General features: G+C 46.2%; 1 protein-coding gene and 1 long non-coding RNA gene across 7 annotated transcripts in view, besides 1 other annotated feature; one reads left to right on the top strand and one right to left on the bottom strand.

Annotated features, from left to right (window-relative positions):
- Window positions 1-16,151, bottom strand: part of ZNF783 (zinc finger protein 783) — a 22,799-nt gene extending 6,648 nt beyond the window's left edge. Inside the window, exons 1-6 of one of the 6 annotated variants that reach the window (XR_001744503.2) lie at window positions 13,223-13,318; window positions 11,617-12,012; window positions 11,402-11,528; window positions 11,125-11,250; window positions 1,860-1,995; window positions 122-211 (exon numbers count right to left, since the gene is read on the bottom strand). Coding sequence is in view for 3 of the 6 variants with exons in the window: in XM_011515701.3 (XP_011514003.1) it covers window positions 11,125-11,250; window positions 11,402-11,528; window positions 11,617-12,012; window positions 13,223-13,279 (706 nt within the window). In the remaining 3 variants the exon portion in view is untranslated. Of the gene's footprint in view, window positions 1-98; window positions 212-1,859; window positions 1,996-11,124; window positions 11,251-11,401; window positions 11,529-11,616; window positions 12,013-13,222; window positions 13,319-13,836; window positions 15,876-15,989 lie in introns of those variants that run through there. The other 5 variants (NR_144366.2, NR_144367.1, NM_001195220.2 and 2 more) reach the window with 5 other exon arrangements.
- Window positions 15,684-16,553: a silencer, noted in NCBI's record as "silent region_18753". NCBI's record gives its function as "represses an Ori minimal core promoter by ATAC-STARR-seq in GM12878 lymphoblastoid cells {active_cell/tissue: GM12878}" and the evidence as "EXISTENCE:reporter gene assay evidence [ECO:0000049][PMID:35858748]".
- On the top strand, window positions 16,006-22,373 carry LOC124901769 (uncharacterized). The gene is made up of 2 exons (XR_007060582.1): window positions 16,006-16,700; window positions 21,100-22,373. It is a non-coding gene; the product is annotated as an uncharacterized LOC124901769 (long non-coding RNA).
- The last annotated feature ends 152 nt before the right edge of the window (window positions 22,374-22,525 follow it).

The raw sequence follows: 22,525 nt of genomic DNA, 5'->3' as shown, positions 1-22,525 counted from the left end.
GATGACCAGGGACCCTCTGGGGAAAGGCAGAGTCACTGCGATCCTGGGGCCTCAGCTCCAGCACAGGGCATGATAGTGAGGTGGACCCCACCAAATACCTGGCAGCTAGATTCCAGTCTAAAGCCTCATGTCCCACAGAAGGAAACTGCAGCACAGGAATTCAGCAGACAGGAAATCACGGTAATGATCGCCAGGCAGGTCATGACAGAATCTGGCATTTTAAGGCAGGAAAGAGAAACACCATGCCTGTCCCACCAGCCAGTGGGGTGGTCACCACCTCCCGCAGTCGGGCCTCCTCCTCCTCCTCCAAGCTGCTCTTATGGCATAGGGGACCCAAGGCAGGGCAGAAACACAACTGAAGATATGGCGTTAGGAGCGTCAAGGTTTTCCCCTCAGAAGTTGTCTTTCAAGATAACTCCATCCCTACGCCTACTTCTTAGAACCCGTGTCTATATACATGTTTAATCAGTGCCCGCCTCCCAGAGTGATCGTAACCAACCCAGCTGTTAGCAAGACTTTCAAATGGTAAAGCCCCGAAATGAGCACTTGTCCTCTCACACAAGAAATCAAACTCTGATTTTTTTTTTTGAATTTTTTTTTTTTTTTTTGAGGCGGAGTCTCGCTCTGTTGCCCAGGCTGGAGTGCAGTGGCGCAATCCTGGCTCACTGCAAACTCCGACTCCCAGGTTCAAGCAATTCTCTGCCTCAGCCTCCCAAGTAGTAGGGATTACAGACGCCCATTACCATGCCCGGCTAATTTTTGTATTTTTTAAGTAGAGACGGGGTTCCACCATCTTGGCCAGGCTGGTCTTGAACTCCTGACCTTGTGATCCACCCTCTTGGCCTCCCAAAGTGCTGGGATTACAGGAGTGAGCCACTGTGCCTGGCCAAAGCTCTGATTTTTTAAGCAAAAAAAGATGATAAGAAAAAAACTATGATGAGCAAAAGGCTGACAGTGAGAGTTGACAGAATGCTACCATCAGAGATGAAATCAGCAAATGGCTCACATCATTTGTCCACTTGATGCTAAGAGGAATTTGAAATTGGATGGGCATCAGATCAGAAGGGAACAGACAAGAAACCCAGAATCATGGAAAAAGTGGCTCTACCTCCAAACCTGGGTTGGAATTTACCACGCTGGATCTTCCTAAACTTAAGCATCCAGAGAACAATGCCTTGTCAGAGATAAAAGAACAACCAGACCGGGCGCGGTGGCTCACGCCTGTAATCCCAGCACTTTGGGAGGCCAAGGCAGGCGGATCACAAGGTCAGGAGATCAAGACCATCCTGGCTAACATGGTGAAACCCCGTCTCTACTAAAAATACAAAAAATTAGCTGGGCGTGGTGGCAGGCACCTGTAGTCCCAGCTACTTGGGAGGCTGAGGCAGGAGAATGGCATGAACCCGGGAGGCGGAGCTTGCAGTGAGCCGAGATCGCGCCACTGCACTCCAGCCTGGGCGACAGAGCAAGACTCCATCTCAAAAAAAAAAATAAATAAATAACCACCAAACGCCGAGTATGGTGGCACATGACTGCAGTCCCTGCTAGTTGGGAGGCTGAGGCAGGAGGATGGCTTGAGCCCAGGAGTATGAGGCTGCAGTGAGCCATGATTGTGCCAGTTGCATTCCAACCTGGGCAACGGGGCCAGACCCTGTCTCAAATAAATAAATAAATAAATAAATAAATAAATAAAAAGTAACCCAAGTGGGGTCCTGTCCACTCTACCTCAACTGAGGTTCTCTTCTAACAGAAGAGGTAAAACCAGCTAGAAGGTTATCAAAAGGTAAAATAGTGATGAAAAGTAATAATCCAATTGAGTCTGTGCCTGCTAACACTGCTACCGATTCCCCTTTACGTACGGGAGAGTTATAAACCAACGGGTTACACTGCCCCTAAAAATGTTGCTTTCATGACAAGCCTAAAGACGGTTGCTTCATCAGCAGATCCTAAAAATTTCAGTGGATCATCCTCTGAAGTTTCATCTTTGGATCCTTCCTACAACAAAGAAAAACACATCATCCATCCTACTAAACAGCCCCAAGCATCACAAGGTGGTGACTGAGCAGGATGAAGCCTCAAAAAAGAATGAGAAACAGAACAGTCTAAGTGAAAATATGAATCCTGACTGTTCGTGAGCCACTAAGAATTGAAAATAAGGCCGGGCGTAGTGGCTCATGCCTGTAATCCCAACACTTTGGGAGGCCAAGATGGGAGAACTGCTTGAGCTCAGGAGTTTGAGACCAGTATAGGCAACATGGTGAAACCCTGCCTCTACAAAAAAATACAAAAATGAGCTGGGTGTGGTGGCATACGCCTGTAGTTCCAGCTACTCAGGGGGCTGAGGTGGGAGGATCACCTGAGCCCGGGAAGTTGAGGCTGCAGTAAGCTATGATTGCACGACTCCAGTCTGAGTGACAGAGCAAGACCCTGCCAAAAAAAATTATGAATAATTTTTTAAATATTGGGAGGAAGAGCCAGATTCCACTGCAGTTGGATTTGGGGGACAGCACTGGCAAAGGGGCAGCACCCCCAGGATCAAGCAGCCTGCAAGTCAGCAGTGCTCCTAGTTGGGGCAGTCCTAGGCCTCTCCAAAAATGCCACTTCCATCAGTTCCATCAGGTGAAGACTCCACGCAGCTCCTTGGCCTCCAGTGCCCCCAGATGAATAAAGGGAAGCACAGGCCAAGAAGGCAACCTCATTGAAGATGATTTTGAAAGAACGGCAGGAGAGGGCCAGGCGCAGTGGCTCATGCCTGTAATCCCAGCACTTTGGGAGGCCCAGGCGGGCGGATCACAAGGTCAGGAAATCGAGACCATCCTGGCTAACACAGTGAAACCCCGTCTCTACTTAAAAAAAAACACAAAAAATTAGCCGGGCGTGGTCATGGGTGCCTGTAGTCCCAGCTACTCGGGAGGCTGAGGCAGGAGAATGGCGTGAACCCGGGAGGCGCAGCTTGCAGTGAGCCAAGATCGCGCCACTGCACTCCAGCCTAGGCAACAGAGCGAAACTCCGTCTAAAAAAAAAAAAAAGAAAGAAAAACCTAAAGCCTCCATCAAAAAAACCTATTAGAACTGATAAATTCAGCAAAGTCGCAGCATACGGAATCAATATACAAAATCAGTAGCCTTTTTATATGCCAACAGTGAACAATCTGAAAAAGAAATCAAGAAAATAATCCCATTTACAATAGCTATAAATAAAATAAAATACCTAGGAAAAAACTTAACAAAGGAAGTAAAAGATGTCTAGAATGAAAATTATGAAACATTAATGCAAGAAATTGAAGAGGACACCAAAAAATGGAAAGATATTCCATGTTCATAGATTGGAAGAATGAATTAGTTATAATGTCCACAGTACACAAAGCAATCTACAGACTCAATGCAATTCCTATCAAAATATCAAAGACATTCTTCACAGAAATAGAAAAAATAATCCTAAAGTGTATACAGAACCATGAAAAACCTGAAATAGCCAAAGGCATCCTAAGCAAAAAGAACAAAACTGGAGGAATCTATTACCTGACTTCAAATTATACTACAGATCTACGGTAATCAAAACAGCATGGTAATGGCATAAAAAAAGACAAATAGAACAACAGAATAGAAGAGGGAACCCAGAAATAAACCGATACATCTACAGCTAACTCATTTTTAACAAAGGTGTCAAGAACACATATTAGGCCAGGTGCGGCGGCTCACGCCTGTAATCCCAACACTTTGGGCAGCCAAGGTGGGTGGATCACCTGATGTCAGGAGTTCAAAACCAGCCTGACCAATATGGTGAAACTCCGTCTCTACTAAAAATACAAAAATTAGCTGGGAGTGGTGGCTGGCGCCTGTAGTCCCAGCTACTCAGGAGGCTGAGACAGGAAAATTGCTTGAGCCTGCAAGGCGGAGGTTGCAGTGAGCCAAGACTGTGCCACCACACTCCAGCCTGGGTGACAGAGTGAGACTCCGTCTCAAAAAAGAAAAAAAAAAAAGAAAAGGAAAAAAAAAAGAACATATATTGGAATAAGGATGGTTATTTCAATAAATGGTGCCAGGAAAACTGAATATCCATATGCAGAAAAATAAAACTAAACTCCTATCTCTCATCATATACAGAAATCAAATCAAAATAGATTAAAAACTTAAATATAAGACCTCGAACTATCAAACTACTACAAGAAAACATTGGGGAAACTCTCCAGGACATTGTTCTGGGCAAAGATTCGAGTACTACCCTAAAGCACAGACAACCAAAGCAAAAATGAACAAACGGGATCACATCAAGTTAAAAAGCTTCTGCACAGCAAAGGAATCAATCAACAAAGTGAAAAGACACCCCACAGAACGGGAAAAAATATTTGCAAATTATCCATCTGACAAGGGATTCATAACCAAAATATCTAAGGGGCTCAAACAAATCTATAGGAAAAAAATCTAATTACCCAATTAAAAGATAATCTGATTAAAAATGGGCAAAAGATCTGAATAGATATTTCTCAAAAGATGGCATACAGCTTGGGCATGGTGGCCCATGCCTCTAATCTCAGTGCTTTGGAAGGCTGTGGCAGGAAGATTGCTCGAGTCCAGGAGTTCAAGACCAGCCTGGACAACATGGCAAAACTCTACCTCTACAAGAAATACAAAAATTAGCTGGGTGTGGTGACACATGCCTCTAGTCCCAGCTACTTGGGAGGCTGAGGTGGGAGAATGGCTTGAACCCAGGAAATCGGGTGCAGTGAGCTCTGATTGTGCCACTGCACTCCTGTCACATCTGGGCAACAGAGTGAGACCCTATCTCAAAAAAAAAAAAAAGTACAAATGGCAAACAGGTATATGAAAAGGTGCTCAACATAATCGATCATCAAAGAAATGCAAATCAAAACTACAATGACATATCATCTCATCCCAGTTAAGATGTCTTTTATCCAAAAGACGGGCAATAACACATGCTGGCGAGGATGTGGAGAAAAGGGAACCCTCGTGCACTGTTGGTGGGAATGTAAATTAGTGCAACCACTATGGAGAACAGTATGGAGGTGCCTCAAAAAAACTAAAAGCAGAACTACCACGTGACCCAGAAACCCCACTGCTAAGTAATACCCAAAAGAAAGGAAATCAGTGTATCAAAGAGGTATCTGCACTCCCATGTTTACTGCAGCATTATTCACAATAGTCAAGATTTGAAATCAACCTAAGTGTCCATCAACAGACAAATGGACAGAGAAAAGGTGGTACATATACACAATAGAGTAATACTCAGCTATAAAAAAAGAATGAGATCCTGTCATCTGCAACAACATGGGTGGAACTGGAGGACATCATGTTAAGTGAAATAAGCCAGGCACAGAAAGACAAACTTTGCATGTTCTCATTCATTTGTGGGAGCTAAAAAGTAAAACAATTGAACTCATGGAGACAGAGAAGTTGAATGATGGTTACTGAAGGCTGGGAAGGGTTGGGGGAAGGTGCGAGGGGGGAAGTAGAGATGGTTAATGGGTAAAAAATATAGTTAAATAGAATGAATAAGATCTAGCATGTGATAGCATAACAGGGTGACTACAGTCAACAATAATTTAATTGTACATTTTATAATAACTAAAAGTATAATTGGAATGTTTATAATACAAAGAAATAATAAATGCTTGAGGTATGAATATCCCATTTACCCTGAGGTCATTATTACACATTGTATGCCTGTATCAAAATATCTCATGTACCCCATAAATATGCACACCTACTATGTACCCATAAAAATTAGAGATTAAAATAGAAAGAGTTCTAAAGGAAAAAAAAAACTCATCCACACTCAGTAAGAGAGGTGCCATTAAAACTACACTGACAGACTTCTTACTATTACACTGAAAAGAATCCTACAAGTTTGCCCTCTGTTGGCATGAGAACCTTTCTCACAACACAGATGAGAATGCAAATGATACGAGCCCTATGGAGGGGAATTTGGAGATAAATTCTCCCCAAATAACATATTCATTTACCTTTTGACCCAGAAATCCAACTTCCAGGATTACATCTCAAAGATACATTGGGGCTAGGCACAGTGGCTCATATGTAATCTCAACACTTTGGGAGGCTGAGGAGGGTAGATCACTTGAGGTCAGGAGTTAGAGACCAGCCTGGCCAACATGATGAAACCCCGTCTCTGCTAATACGAAAATTAGCCAGGCGTGGTGGCGCACACCTGTGGTCCCAGCTACTCCAGAGGCTGGGGCTCCAGAATCATTTGAACCCAGGAGTCAGGGATTACAGTGAGACGAGATCGTGCCACTGCACTCCAGCCTGGGCAACAGAGTGAGTGAGACTCCTTCTCACAAAAAATAAATTTAAAAAAAAGATACGTTGGCAAAAACATGAACTGATTTATGCACAACGTACTCCCTGCAGCATTATTTATATCAGCAAAATACTGGAAATACCCTAAATGTCCAAGGTACAGACTGTTAAATAAACTATCATACCACAGAACATTCTGAATCCACAGAAGAACTGAGGAAGATCTGTACATAATCATATGAGGTGATCTCCACAACCTACTGAATAAGACAGGGGTGGGAATACAAATATATCTCTGTGTTATTGAAACATGGTAGTATAAATAAGAAAGGAATCAAGATGATTATCTATAGTGAGAGGCCACAAGGATGGAAACGAGACTTCCTTGAATCTACCCTGTTAAATCATTTTGACTTCGCAAACATAAAATATCTTACATATTCAAAAAATTAAGTTAAATCAAAAACCAAAAAGAATAATCAATAAAAAATCTAAAAATACACAAATGAATGCAACTGTATACCAAGCTGGTGACATAACTACATAGAGAAAATATTTCAAGTGACTTTAAAAGGCATTATTTTGCCCATAAGTCCTGCATAGAATGTATACAGAGGACAAAAAGAACTGCAAAGAAATCTTGTATTTCAATGGAAGTCTAATTGTTAATAGTATTATGGCTTCACTGTTTTGAAATTGTAAGATAAATTATAGGATAATGAAGTGGTAGGACTGGATATAAGATCATTTAAGAAATTATGCAAATTTCGTTGAGAATTTAAGATTGCCACCTAAAAGGAAAGTGATAAACAATATAAAATCAAAGAGCCAGGCTGGGCGCCGTGGCTCACGCCTGTAATCCCAGCACTTTGGAAGGCCGAGGCAGGCAGATCATGAGGTCAGGAAATCGAGACCATCTTGGCTAACACGGTGAAACCCCGTCTCTACCAAAAATACAAAAAATTAGCCAGGCGTGGTGGCGGGCACCTGTAGTCCCAGCTACTCAGGAGGCTGAGGCAGGAGAATGGCATGAACCCGGGAGGTGGAGCTTGCAGTGAGTGAGCTCGCACTCCAGCCTGGGCGACAGAGCGAGGCTCCGTCTCAAGAAAAAAAACCAAAGAACATTAAATTTGAATTAGAAATATCAATGTATAAACTCATGATTTCTTTTTTCTTTCCAAAAATATGTATTTTCTGAACAGGCCTAGAAGTAGTGCCAAAAATCAGCAACAATTAACACTCACATTGTAATCTCTAAATACCACTCCTCACCAATAGAAATCAAAAATCCAGAGACATTTTGATTCCAGGTCTGGAGCAGGAAGCACACACATAAATCTGGCACACCTTATGGTGTCTGAAAGCCACTGAGGTCACATCAGAATAACCTATGGGCCAACTTAAAAAAGAGGCTCCCACTAGCTAAAGATGGGACAGTTTAAGCAGGAAAATCATGGCTGCAAAGGCCTAGCACATATGAAATATCCAATTATCTGTGAAGTCACAATAACTTAACTCAGGAAAAAAAAGAAGCCCAAGTCATGGGTCACCTTTGGAGGCTACTAAGGCAGCAACTCTTCATTCATTCTGAAACTGATAAAGGAAAGAATTAAGCATCCATTCTGCCTTTTCAGTGCAGACTGAATCTCAGGGTAACTAAAAAAGCTGACTAGCATTTTCGGAGGCAAAAGTAGGTGGACTGCTTGAGCCCAAGAGTTTGAGACCAGCCTGGGCAATATAGTGAAACTCTGTCTTTACGAAAAAATACAAAAATTAGCCGGATATGGTGGCGTGCACCTGTAGTCTGACTAAAAAAAATGCAATGGTGAAAAGACTCCCTTCCCTATTCAATAAATGTTGCTGGGGTAAGCCATCCCATTACTGGGTATATACCCAAAGGATTATAAATCATGCTGCTATAAAGACACATGCATACGTATGTTTATTGCAGCACTATTCACAATAGCAAACACTTGGAACCAACCCAAATGTCCAACAATGATAGACTGGATTAAGAAAATGTGGCACATATACACCATGGAATACTATGCAGCCATAAAAAATGATGAGTTCATGTCCTTTGTAGGGACACGGATGAAGCTGGAAACCATCATTCTCAGCAAACTATCGCAAGGACAAAAAACCAAACACCGCATGCCCTCACTCATAGGTGGGAACTGAACAATGAGAACACATGGACACAGAAAGGGAAACATCACACACCAGGGACTGTTGTGGGGTGGGGGGAGGGGGGAGGGATAGCATTAGAAGATATACCTAATACTAAGTGACGAGTTAATGGGTGCAGCACACCAACATGGCACATGTATACATATGTAACAAACCTGCACATTGTGCACATGCACCCTAAAACTTAAAGTATAATAATAATAAAATTTAAAAAAAATGTTGCTAGGGTAACTAGCTAGACATGTGCAGAAGAATGAAGCTAGACCCTTACCTTTCACCATATGCAAAAAGTAACTCAAGATGGATTAAAGATTTAAATGTAAGACCTCAAATTATAAAAATTCTAGAATAAAACCTAGGAAATACCCTCCTCGATATTGCCCTTGGCAAAGAATTTTTGGCTAAGTCCTCAAAAGCAACTGCAACAAAAACAAAAATTGACAAGTGGGACCTAATTAAACTAAAGAGCTTCTGCAGAGCAAAAGAAACTACCAACAGAGTAAGCTGACAACCTACAGAATGGGAGAAAATATCTGGAAACTATGCATCTGACAAAGGTCTAACATCCAGCATCTATAAGGAACTTAAATCAACAAGCAATAAATGGGCAAAGGACATGAACAGACATTTCTTAAAAGAAGACATGCAAGCGGCCAACAAACATGAAAAAATGCTCACCATCACTAATCATCAGAGAAATGTAAATCAAAACCATGAGATACCATCTCACACCAGTCAGAATGGCAATTATTAAAAACTCAAAAACCGTCAGATGCTGGTGAGGCTGTAGAGAAAATGGAATGCCTATACACTGTTGATGGGAATGTAAGTTAGTTCAGCCACTGTGGAAAGCAGTTTGAAGATTTCTCAAGGGACTTAAAACAGAACTACCATTTGACCCAGCAATCCTGTTACTGGGTATATACCCAAAGGAAAATAGATCATTATACCAAAAATATACATGCACACGTATGTTCATCACAATGTTATTCACAATAGCAAAGACATGGAATCAACCTGGGTGTCCATCAGTGGTGGACTGAATAAAGAAAATGTGGTACATATACACCATGGAATATTACATAGCCATAAAAACGAATGAAATCATGTCCTGTGCAGCAACATGAAGCTGAAGGCCATAATCCTAAGTGAACTAATGCAAGAACAGAAAACCAAATATTGCATGTTCTCACTTATAACTGGGACCTAAACAATGAGCACACATTGACATAAACCTGGCAAAAATAGACACTGTGGACTACTACAGGGGGAAGGGAAAGAGAGGAGAATGGATTGAAAAGCTTGGGTACTATGCTCACTACCTGGGCACAATATACCCATGTAACAAACCCGCAGGTGTATGCCTATATCCAAATTAAAAGTTGAAATTTTTTTTAAAAGTACTCAATTGTACACTTTAACAGGTGAATTATATAGTATATGAATTATATCTCAATAAAGCTGTTGAAAAAGACTGGGGGGATTGTCATAAGTTTTTTTAATATACTTCAGAGACGTAAACCAAATGTAAAATGTGGACTTGGGTGTATTACAATTAGGATCCAAAGACCCATAGAAAACATTTTTGAGACAACTAGGGAAAACAAAACAAAGGCTAGGTATTAGATGGTATTAGATGATATTCTGATATTCTGTGGGTGTGATCATGGTATGTGGTCATTGTTCAGGAAAAGGGTAAAAACAGATGGATGAAGCGCATGTGGCAAAACCCAGCAGAGTGTTGAGTTTTGGTGACGATCATTTGGAGATTCGCTGTGCTATTCTACTTTATTAAAATTTAATTGAAAAAATAAAGCTCCCCAGAGGATTGTGATGTGCAGTCCCCTTTGGAACCACTGTCCTATATACCAGCTACAAGGACAGGGCATGCCTGGCCCTCCTACCAAGGGCCATGTACACAAATGGAAGCCAGCACGTGACATGCCTTCCTGCCACAGGCTGGGGTTGTGGGACTGCAATAGGGGACACAAGCAATAGCGGGGACATGGACACACGTGAAGATGCCAGGAGGCAGCAGTGCTGCTGGTGGAGGTATTACTAAGTCCCCATTATTTTTTTTTTTAGATGAAGTCTTGCTCCGTCACCCAGGCTGGAGTGCAGTGGCGCAATCTCGGCTCATTGCAAACTCCGCCTCCCGGGTTCACGCCATTCTCCTGCCTCAGCCTCCCGAGTAGCTGGGACTACAGGCGCCTGCCACCACGCCCGGCTAATTTTTTGTATTTTTACTAGAGAAGGGGTTTCACTATGTTAACCAGGATGGTCTCGATCTCCTGACCTCATGATCCGCCCGCCTCAGCCTCCCAAAGTGCTGGGATTACAGGCGTGAGCCACCGCGCCAGGCCAGTCTCCACTATTATAAAGTGATCAGTATGTACATGCTTAACACTTATCACTCAGTCATCACAACCACGTAAGGTGAGTGTGATGTTCCACCTTAGACAGATATAGAAACCCTATGGCTCAAGCCAGCCACCCACTCCTGCCCAGGGTGGCCTTGTACAGAGTGGTCCCACTTTGGGTTAATGGTCTATGCTCCCTTCCTGCCCTCCCTGATTGTCTGGGAAGCCCGAGAGGGTAGGCGATGGTGCAGCTAGCCCCTGGCGGCCCCCCAACCACATCTGGCTCCTATACTTACCAGTGCCCATCATCCTTGGACGTCCCACCTCTACTTCATTCCCCTTCTCCTGGCCCCACCGGTCAAGACAAGGCTCCTCTCCCCTCTCTATCCGGGTGAGGATGTCTGGTTTGGAGATTGCATAATCTGTGCACAGAACAAGAAATGAGGAAGAGCTGGACCCCACATGCCCACAGAGATGCAGAGATGCCCAAAGTACCAAAAGCCAAAGCAAAGACACAGACTGTCCACAGACAACCTGTGGACAGAGGCCCAGATCCTCCCTCCGTGGCCTTACCCAGGGAGACCAGCGTCTCGTAGTTGCCCCTCATCACGTGCTTGTAGAGCTCCTTCTGCCAGTCCTCCAGCTTGCCCCACTCCAGCTCAGAGAAATACACGGCCACATCATCGAAGGTCACGGGCACCTGGAACCATAAGTGTCGCACTCACTCACCCACACGCTCACAGGCTCAGCCCCTCGAGCTCCCCCACCCCAGGGTGTCCCGGTGCTACCTTGGGGGCCTCCCCCTTGCTGCCCGGGGGCAGCCGCAAGATCCAGAAGTTCCTGTTGCGCAGCAAGTTCTCCACATTCTCCAGCCGCCTCTGCAGCAGCCCGTACTCCTGCAGCAAGGTCCCCAGCACGGCCCACTTGCCCTCCAGCTGGTTCCCGAACTCCACAGCTGTCTTCTCGCAGTCGGCCAGCTTCTTCTCGGCTGTCCCCGTGCGCCCCTCCAGAGTCAGCAAGCGGGTCAGGCAGGAATCCACCTTCTTCTCCAAGGCCTGAATGGCGGCCACCACCGTCCACAGTGTGATTTCCGTGGAGTAGAGGTACGAGTTCTTCTCAGCAGCTGGCTGGGGCAAGGGTGTCGAAGGACTCTGGTCCTCTGTGTGCTTGTCTGTCTCGGGGTCCTGCTCACAAGAAGAGAAAAGAGAGATGTTATGAGAATTATACAATCAAAACTTCCACCTCAAAAACACACTTCGGAAATGACACCTGCCATGGTAAAGTCCCATCTGGGCTCCTGAGTTAGCAGCAGACTGGGGGGGAGAGGGAGAGGCTAGGGTATCAGTTAGGAATCCAGCCTAACTGATACAAGAGATAGTGGCTGGACCAACGTGTCAGCAAGTGGGAAAGTGGAAGAAAAACAGCCCCGGCTCCTGTCCTACAGGCTAGCTATGGAGACGGGGCATGCCCCACAGGCTTGAGCAACCACGTGCAGTCTCAAACAAGTGACTCCCCTTCTTGGGTCTCAGTTTCCTCTTCTAAAAATGAAAGGACAAGGCTTTGTGGCACAGAGAACATGACTCCCCAGTGGACAGCCCAGGTGCAACTCAGCTCTGCCACTTACAAGCTGGCCAACTGTGGGCAAGGTGTTTTCAACAGCTTCCAACTTCCCTTCCCTATCTAGAAAATGGAGATAATAATAGTACCTATACAATAGCACTGAGAGAATTAAGAAAAATCTGTGTACAAAGCACTTAGTACAATGTGTAGCACAGCACAGATAATAAACATGAGCCCCATGTTGCAGGGCTAAGATGACACTGACTGCTATGGAATGAATGCTTGTGTCTCCCTCAATATCCATCTGCTGAAGCATTAATCCCCAATATGCCGGTATTTGGAGGTGGAGCTTCTGGGAGGCAATTAGGCCATGAAGGCAGAGCCCTCATAAATAGGATTAGCGCCCTTGTAAGAGGAGACACAAGGGAGATGATCTTGCTGTATGCCACGTGAGGATACAATGAGAAGGCAGCCGTCTGCAAACCAGGAAAAGAGCCCTGCCGGGAACCAAGGCAGCCTGAGCAGACTGAGACAATGACAGTGATTATGGTGATGGTTCCAGCTCAGGGATATGGTATAAATAGTTCATATGGCCTTTTTTTTAACCTCCACCTCTTTTATTCCATTGTCCTTCAGTGCCTTGGAAAAAGCTTCTCAAGTGCCTCAGCTTACCCTGGTATCTGATTCACAAGCCCTCATTGTGCATGCGCAATGGGCACAGTCCTGGTTGGTGCTGCTAAAAGCCTTGTTGGAGAGACAAATCAACATCTCACTCCTCAATTTCATTCATCCTTCATGGTTAAATCACCATCAGGTCCTAACTTCCAAAATTACCTCAAATCCATCCATGTTTCTCCTTCTCCACTGCCAGTGTCTAGTCCAAGTTCCCATCACCTTGCTTGGCCTGGGCCACTGCGGTCCTGCCCACCTGATTTCCCCACTTCCAGCCTTCTCCCCCACTTCCAGCCTTCTCCCCCACTTCCAGCCTTCTCCCCCACTTCCAGCCTTCTCCCCTACTTCCAGGCTTCTCCCCGACAATACACTTTCCACAGAGTAATTGTTAATCTTTTTTTTTTTTTTTTTTTTGAGACGGAGTCTTGCTCTGTCGCCCAGGCTGGGGTACAGTGGCGCAATCTCGGCTCACTGCAACCTCCACCTCCCAAGTTCAAGCGATTCTCCTGCCTCAGCCTCCCAAGTAGCTGGGACTACAGACGCCCGCCACCACACCCAGCTGATTTTTATATTTTCAGTAGAGACAGGCTTTCACCATATTGGCCAGGCTGGTCTCAAACTCCTGACCTTGTGATCCGCCCGCCTCAGCCTCCCAAAGTGCTGGGATTACAGGCGTGAGTCAGTGAGCCACTGCTCCCGGCCTGGTAATCTTTTAAAAACACAAATAGATCATTTCAGTACCCTGCTTAAAACTCTTCAATAGCTTCCCAGTGTACCTGGCATAAGATCTAGACTTCTTCATGGCCCAGCCGACCTCTCTTGACCTTGAGCCATCCAGTTCCTGTCGTGCTCCAGCCATGCCAGCCTCCTGTGGATTCCGAGGACCCACCCGGCCCTCCTCCAACTTCACATCAGCTCTCAATATGCATCCTCTGTATGCCTGAGTCTCTCTCGTTTTTAAGATTCTAGCATAGACAACGCATCCTAGAGATTTTCACTGCCCCTCCCCCTTAGCACTAGTAATCTATAATTGCTTCATTCATTCAATAACAATTACTGAACACCTATCATAGTAAATGTACAGTGAAGATGAAGAAAAAACTGATGTGGTTCTTCCTTCTCCAGGAGAAAAATTCTGTATAGGAATACTTATAAACAACAACAGTGTGATAGGATGGGCTAACAAGAGTCCAGGGCAAATCTGTCCCTTTTGGGGAGTTTTTTGGGATCTCAAGTGCTGCAAGAAGGGAGGAGCAGGTGGACAGGAGTGATCTGAAAGGTAGTGAAGCAGTGAGCCCCAGGCTAGGGGGAGTGGATGATGTCACCTTCTAGGGCCCCCTCTTCCCAGGGAACAGGACTATAAACCTGCAGAATCCTCAACGCTTTTTCTCTCCCTTGCACTCAGGGAACCCAAAAAGAAGCTCAGCACACTCACTAAGAGGAGGGAGAGGAAGTTATACTTTAATAAAAGTATCCAGAAAAATCAAGGTTTCAAAACCTTCACTGAGGTGTATTAATAATAGTAGGTATCATCTATTGAGCCTTTACAAGCGTTTTCCAGTATGTCAAAAATGGCCAAAGGATTATAATCTCCCAATTGGACATACTGCACTATATCAAACCAAGATTCTAAAATCTGCTAAACTGGCCTAACTTATATAGATGAAGATGCCAAAAAAACTGATGTGATTCTTCCTTCTCCAGGAGAAAAATTCTGTATAGGAATACTTATAGTGTATTCTTATGAATAAACTTATTCATATAGATATGTATCTGGACAGATAGATAGATAGATATAAATGAGACAGGCACCTGCGCCTGTAATCCCAGCTACTTGGGATTGGGAGGCTGAGGCAGGAGAATACCTTGAACCCGGGAGGCAGAGGCAGAGGTTGCAGTGAGATGAGATCCCGCCACTACACTCCACCCTGGGTGAGAGTGAGACTGTGTCTAAAAAAAAAATATATATATATATATATATACACACACACACACACACACACACACACACACACACACACGTATATATATATACTTTTTTAATTAAAAAATTTTAAAATGGCCGGGCGCGGTAGCTCTCGTCTGTAATCCCAGCACTTTGGGAGGCCGGGGCGGGCAGATCACGAGGTCAGGGGTTCGAGACCAGCCTGGCCAACATAGTGAAACCCAGTCTCTACCAAAAATAGAAAAATTAGCCAGGCGTGGTAGCAGGCGCCTGTAGTCCCAGCTACTTGGGAGGCTGAGGCAGGAGAATCCCTTGAAGCCGGGAGGCGGAGCTTGCAGTGAGCCGAGATCGTGCCACTGCACTCCATCCAGCATGCGCAACAGAGCGAGACTCCCTCTCAAAAAAAAAAATTAAATAAAATCTGCTACAGTAATCTTTTTTAAAAAAATCTACTATCTCTCTTGTAAACGACACAATCTTTCTCTTTGGCAAAAGTAGAATATGAGGCGTTTTAAAGTGTCTAATTCCAAAATCCCTGCCCCGGCGTGAGGCTCCCGCCTCTAATAGATGCGTGACCCTGGGCCTGTCCCTTCCCATCTCAGCCTCCGCTACTGTCCCGTGGGGCTGGCGGCCCCTGCCCGCCCAGCCTGCTGTAGGGGGGGCCGCGAGGCCTCAAATGGGACAATACTCCTAAGGCGCGGCCTCCTCGTCGCCGAGCGTGACTCTGGGGCCCGGCCTGGCTGAGGCCGCAGATGGGCCGGATCGTCAGCCGCTGACGTCGGGGCCCCGCCCGCCGGGCCTGGCATTTGGGCCGCCCGGTCAATGCCTTCGACGCGGGCTGGGCGATGGGCCGGGGGCAACGAGCGCGGAGGCTGCGCGCAAGGCCCTCTCACCCCGCGGCCTCGCGCGGCCAGAGTCCCTCGCGCGGGCTCACGCGGCGGCGGCCTGGGCCTTCCGGGCGTCCGCGGGGCCGAGGGCGCTTACCCGGGCAGGCGCCGCTTCGGCCATGGCTGCCCGCGTCCCTCGCTGGGTTGCAGTCCCTGGACCCGGCCTGTCGGGCCCGGGGCGGCGCGGCAGCGACGGCGGAAGCGGAGCGGGACCCGCCTAACCTGAGAGCTACTGCCGGGCGGCAGCGAACTGCGTCCCGAGCCACGTGCCCCGCTGGCCCTTTAAAAAAGAGCTGCGCTCGGCGGCCGAGCTTGAGGACGCGCACAGCGCCCCCTGCAGCCCGTAGGACCGCACGCCCGCGGCCGCCGCCCCGCGCCCTCCCGAGGCCTTCAGCGCCCGCGGCGTCCGGGACCCAGGCGCGGCCACCCACCCTCACCCGGGGCGCGGGAGTTGACGCCAGGGCGGGCGTGCCACGGCCTCCAGCGGGGCTACGTCAGGCGTAAGCCACTCCCGGGCCAGCGCGGCGCCCAACCTCTCTCTGCGTCCCACGCGGGAGCCGGGAGGGCTGCGGGAAGGAACCGCGCTGGAAAGTGCGAAACCTCGCGAGGGAAAGCTGCGTGGGGAACGGGGTCGGCCCTCGCCGGGGCTCCAGTCCGGACCGAGACTCTGTTGCAGCGCCTCCCACGCACCACAGAACTGAGTTGGGGAAAGTAAAAAGGATACGTGTGTACCCAGGGAGAAGCCAGGGAAACTTACATGAACGTTTTTAAAGTCTCTTTTAAATTTGACAGAACAAACGTGAAGATGGTAGGATTTTTTTTTTTTTTTTCCTAAGCCTGCCCTCCCCTCCTGAGGACTCTGGGGTCCCTTCCTCCTCCCGGGGCCCGCCTGGTGAAAGTCCTCAGCCACCCACGAGGACCCTTCTGTAGCTTTGGTCCAGGCTGAGATCACAGCAAGTGTGAATCAGTCCATCCCTCATTTAGGCCCTGAGGCATCTTGAATAAACCGCAGGACCCATTTTCCTCGGCCTGTGCTGAGGCATATTGAACTAAATGTGCTGTATGCAGTTGAAGCTTTGTTTTCTGTCTTTTCTGCATTTCCCATTCATCTCACAGTCTTTGTCCAACAAGCTGGCAAACTCTTCCCGCTAGAAATCTGCAGTTTTGTTTCTTTCTGTGTTTGGGTTTGTTTGGGGTTTTTTGGTTTTGGTTTTGTTTTTTCTTTTTTGGGGGGGGGGGGTGAGGGTGAGAAGTTATTTTCACAAATATTTGAGCCAAGCAAAAGCGTGGTCAACTATCAGAAAAAACACAAACTGATATCCTAAGTAAGGTGAACCCCAAAATTTGCGGAAAGGTTAGGACGTGTTACTTTAAGGTAACAAATCAAATAAATATTTGGCATTATTCATTTTGGAAATTCTTGTTGAACTATCCCAATCTAAAACACAAACTGCAAGTATGCACTAAAGACATTAAGAGCATCCCTAGGATCTTATCAGGGATCAGTCCAATCTATTCAGGATTATAAAATACCAGTAAATGGTGACGTTATAGAATAACAGTTAAGGTCCAATGCAAACAGAAAGGGTCAGGAAAATGGGCCAGGAGCCGTGGCTCATGCCTGTAATCCCAGCAGTTTGGGAGGCTGAGGCGGATGGATCACCTGAGGTCAGGAGTTCGAGACCAGCCTGGCCAACATGATGAAACCCCATCTCTACTAATACAAAAAATTAGCTGGGTGTGGTGGTGAGGTACTCTGGAGGCTGAGGCAGGATAATCGCTTGAACCCGGGAAGCAGAGGTTGCAGTAAGCCGAGATCATGCCATTGCACTCCAGCCTGGGCAACAAGAGCAAAACCCCATCTCAAAAAAAAAAAAAAAGAAAAAGAAAGAAAGAAAGGGTCAGGAAAATGGGCTGGAGACAAAAATGCTAGGATTTAATGAGCTCTGTTGAGGAAAGAGTGCTATAATGTTTGACAGCTAGTCTTCGTTTTTTAGAAAAAAAGTTTCTCTAAGTCAGTGGTACTCAAACTTCAGTGTGCATCATGTTCACTGAGGGTTCTTGTTAAAAATACAGGATGCTAGGCACAAACCTCAACATTTCTAGGTCTGAAACAGGAGGGGATGAAAGTGATGCGAATTTGCAATTCTAACTAGTTCCCAAGAAATGCTGATTCTATTGGTCTGGTGATCACAGTTCGAAAACCTTGGCACTGTTTATCAGGGTCCCACAGCTACCTCCCATTCCCATGCTCAGATTTTATAAATATATTTAATAAACGAACACTTTGCACCATAATGTGGTTTCTGAGCAGACCAGCCGGGGTGTCAAGCCAGCTCTGATATAAATTAAAATTACATGGTGGCTTTTTTTTTTTAAGACGGAGTTTCGCTCTTGTTGCCCAAGATGAAGTGCAATGGCACGATCTCGGCTCACTGCAACCTCCACCTCCCAGGTTCAAGAGATTCTCCTGCCTCAGCCTCCCGAGTAGCTGGGATTACAGGTTCCTGCCACCATGCCAGGCTAATTTTTAGTATTTTTAGTAGAGACGGGGTTTCACCATGTTGGCCAGGCTGGTCTCAAACTCCTGACCTCAGGAGATCCACCCACCTCGGCCTCCAAAAGTGCCGGGATTACAGGCATCAGCCACCACGCTCAGCCTACATTCATCTTTAATTGTTAATCTGTCTCTTGTGAGTTTGTTTTTTGGGGGATCAGATTTCCAGGACCTGATTATCTCTGGGTGAACTGACAACATCCAGTGGAGGCCCAGTCCGTGGAGTAACAAGGGTGACTCCACCTGCAGAAGGTAGGGTTGTCACAATTTGAGGGCCACCAAAGTAGTACCCAGGGTCACTCAACAAGAGGTCAGCACACTCAAGTGCCATTGTCCCCACCAGAACATCCTCAGCCAAGAGATAGTGGCAGGTCAGAGACAGAATTCCTGTGGCTCCCTCATCCTCCAAGCCAGGAATGTAATTTAGATTAGGAGGTGGACCCACACAGAATTATAAAGATGTTAGGAACGGAAGCATTAGTAGAGGGAGACCAGAAGTACAGCCAAATCCCACTTCCTCCATAGAAGCCTTCTCTATTTCAGACAACACCCAGCTCTCTATTCTGTGAACACCCATTATACTTTCTCATTCAGCAAACATTTGCTGAGCACCTATGTGCCAAGCACCTGTGCTGAGAGCTGTGGAGGCTGATAGGAGTAAGACATGGTCCCTCCTGAGGCCAGGCGCGGTGGCTCACGCCTGTAATCCCAGCACTTTGGGAGGCCGAGGCGGGCGGATCACGAGCTCAGGAGATCAAGACCATCCTGGCTAACACGATGAAACCCCGTCTCTACTAAAAATACAAAAAATTAGCCGGGCGTGGTGGTAGGCGCCTGTAGTCCCAGCTACTTGGGAGGCTGAGGCAGGAGAATGGCCTGAACCCAGGAGGCGGAGCTTGCAGTGAGCTGAGATGGCGCCACTGCACTCCAGCCTGGGCGACAGAGCAAGGCTCCGTCTCAAAAAAAAAAAAAAAAAAAAAAAAATGGTCCCTCCATTCCCACAGCATCACATCCTGTGACTGTTTCTTGGTCTTATCTATTGTTCCCTTCCCACTGCAGCTGCACCCAATCAGGTAGGTCCTCACTGGCTCTTCCTTGATCTCACTTGAAACCTTCTAACATATCCCAAACCTCACACCCCCCAAAAAGCACAGTATAATTCTTATTAGTATTCCCAAATCACAGCTAGAATCAGGTCACTCTTTTGCTCAAAATTCTTCAGCTCCCCATTATCAACCGAATAAAATCCAGACTCCTTGAAGCCTGACCCAACTCTTAACACCCACTACTCTCCTTCTCACACTCCACCCTCCCGAAATTGGATGAACTCCTCTTCTGTACATGTCCCATAATGTCTCCTGACTTGGTCATGTCACCTCCATTTAGAATGTCCTTCCTCCCATCCTTAAAAGGCCAGTTCAAATACCACCTATCACGAAGTCTTCCCTAATGTCTCACATCTAAAATAATTGTTCTCTGAATGCTTAAAGCCTTTTACCCTCACTTATCTGAAGACATTACTATTCTATCTTATATTCCCTTAGTAGCCTGTAAGTCCAAGAGCAAGATTTATCCCTGTACCCCTCTGTAGAATTCTGCACAGGGAGGATACTCAGATATTTGTGAGTGAACAAACTCTAAGGCAGAATGGAATACTGTCCTCACCTAGGAAAGGGCTGTGCAAAGGTGCAGTAAAGGAAGAAAACTGATTTTGAAAGAACATAAACTCAATAAGGGCAAAGATCTTTTTTTTCATTGATGTGTATTTAAAATAGTGTCTAGATAACAGGGACTCAATATGTATTTGTTCAATGAAAGAAATGGATGAGGGAAGCTTTCACAGAAGGAACTTATAAGCCAAAACAGTGAAAAATAGTGTTTGGTTCAGAGAAGGACACTGCAGAGAGAGGGAGAGAGCATGGCTTATTCAGTAAGACAGGAGGCCAGACGTGGTGGTTCACAGCTGTAATCCCAGCACTTTGGGAGGCTGAGGCAGGAGGATCACTTGAGCCTAGGAGTTCAAGATCAGCCTGGCAACATAGTGGGACCCTGTCTCTACAAAAGGTACAAAAATCAGCTGGGTATGGTTTGTGCACACCTGTAGTGCCAGCTACTTGGAAGGCTGTGATGGGAGCATCCATTGAGCCCAAGAGGTCAAGGCTGCAGTGAGCTGTGATGGCACACTCAGCCTGGGCAACAGAGACTCTGTCTCAAAAATTTTTTAAAAAAAATAAATGAATGAATGAATGAATGACAGGAAGCCCAATGTGGCAGCAGCATAGAGTGAAAACAGAAAAAATGCAGGGTGACGCAGGTTTTCAGAGTCTTGAGTTCTATACTAAAAAGACTGCTCATTATCAGTAGCTGCTAAAAGCCATTGCAAGGTTTTGAGGAAAGTCTACATCCAGTTGTGTGCAAGGACATTAACTCTGGAATCAAAAAGGATGTGATTAAGAGCAGAAGACCTACTGGTTACTGAAAAGTTTGGATGAATGATGACTAGGACCTTAACTGTGGGAACAGAAAGGATAGAAAAGGCAGGATAGATGAGTCACTAATATTTGGCATTTAATTCTTCCCTGTTGACTTCAATCTTTCTAACTTGATCATCCCTGTCCTTCTGACAGTGCATTTCCTGTTTTCTCCTCAGCACCTGGCAGAACAGGCTTTCAATGGAGGATGGCAGAAGCAGACAAGAAGAGGCGAATCTTTCGTATACCATAAGAGAGTGCCTCTGCATGCACAGAATCACCTGGGGAGCTTGCTGAGATGCAGATTCTGACTCGGGGGTCTAGGTGGAGCCTGAGTCTGCACCATTTCACACTCCTAGGGGATGCCGCTGCTGCCAGCAGAGAGCCCACACTTCAGGACACAGGATCCAGCTTTGACACTGAGTTCCTAACTGCAGAAGCACCACCACCCCACAGCCAAGTGTGTGGCTCGGAAGCAAGATGCTCTGGGTTTCCATCACCTCTGCCACCTTACTTCACTTCTCAGGCCTCCTCCCACATCTCATACGGAAAACTAGGTAAAATCATGCTCACCACCCAAAACTATAAGGATTTGTTTTCATGGAAATAATTTGAATAGTGCCTAGCACACAAGTATTCAACAAGTGTCAGCAGGAGTCCAATTGCTTGATACAATTATTTCCCAGCCTCAAGGAAAACTTAACTTAATTGGAGAAGTAGGACCATATTTTGTGCTTCGCTTTTCCCCACAACACAAGGCCCAAGGCTGCTCACATTAAAACGCTCAACAATTGGGAAGTAAGAGTAACTAAGGACAGGACAGAGGGGGTGTCTATAAGGCAAAGGCTTGAGGGTAAGAAAAAACTGCAGAAGAAACAGGAAAGAAACTGCAAAGGTTTTCCTGACGAAGCTACCTACCCACCTCACACAGCGCCAGCCCTACAAGGATTCCCTCCATGTTGTTTCTGTAACAAGACAATCCCATACCTTATAGCAGGAGGCCTCAACCCCTGGACTGTGGATCAGTACTGGTCCATGGCCTGTTAGGAATCAGGCCACACAGCAGGTTAGCTCTGCCTCCTGTCAGATCAGCGGCGGCATTAGATTCTCATAGAATGAACCCTATTGTGAACTGCGCTCGCGAGGGATCTAGGTTGTGCGCTCCTTATGAGAATCTAACGCCTGATGATCTGAGGTGGAACAGTTTCATTCCAAAACCATCCCGTCCCCCACCACTGTCTGTGGAAAACCTGTCTTCCACGAAACCAGTCCTGGTGCCAAAAAGGTTGGGGACCCCTGCCTTACAGCAAGCCAAGTTTCCTTCTACTTATTTGCTCGCTCTCCCCGTGGAAAACTGTAATGTCTTTTAACGGGTCTCCTTTGGTCCCAAGTGTTCTTACAAAATGTTTTGTGTACATGCATTTTTAATTTATATAAATGGTGTTACATTATAGATCTCAATTTCTTACCTTTTCCCCTCGGCATTGTGTTTAAGATGGATCCAGATGGCTACGCATATATCTAAGCCAATGCTCGTAACAGCTACCTGGCACTCCCTGGGGTACCCACATTTCACCTACTCTTTCTACCTCCCAATAGCCATCA

This window comes from Homo sapiens, chromosome 7 (assembly GCF_000001405.40).
Source record: "Homo sapiens chromosome 7, GRCh38.p14 Primary Assembly".
NCBI classification, from domain to species: Eukaryota; Metazoa; Chordata; class Mammalia; order Primates; family Hominidae; genus Homo; species Homo sapiens.
Note: the sequence above shows the minus strand (reverse complement) of the source record. Positions and strands in the feature narration are given on the sequence as shown.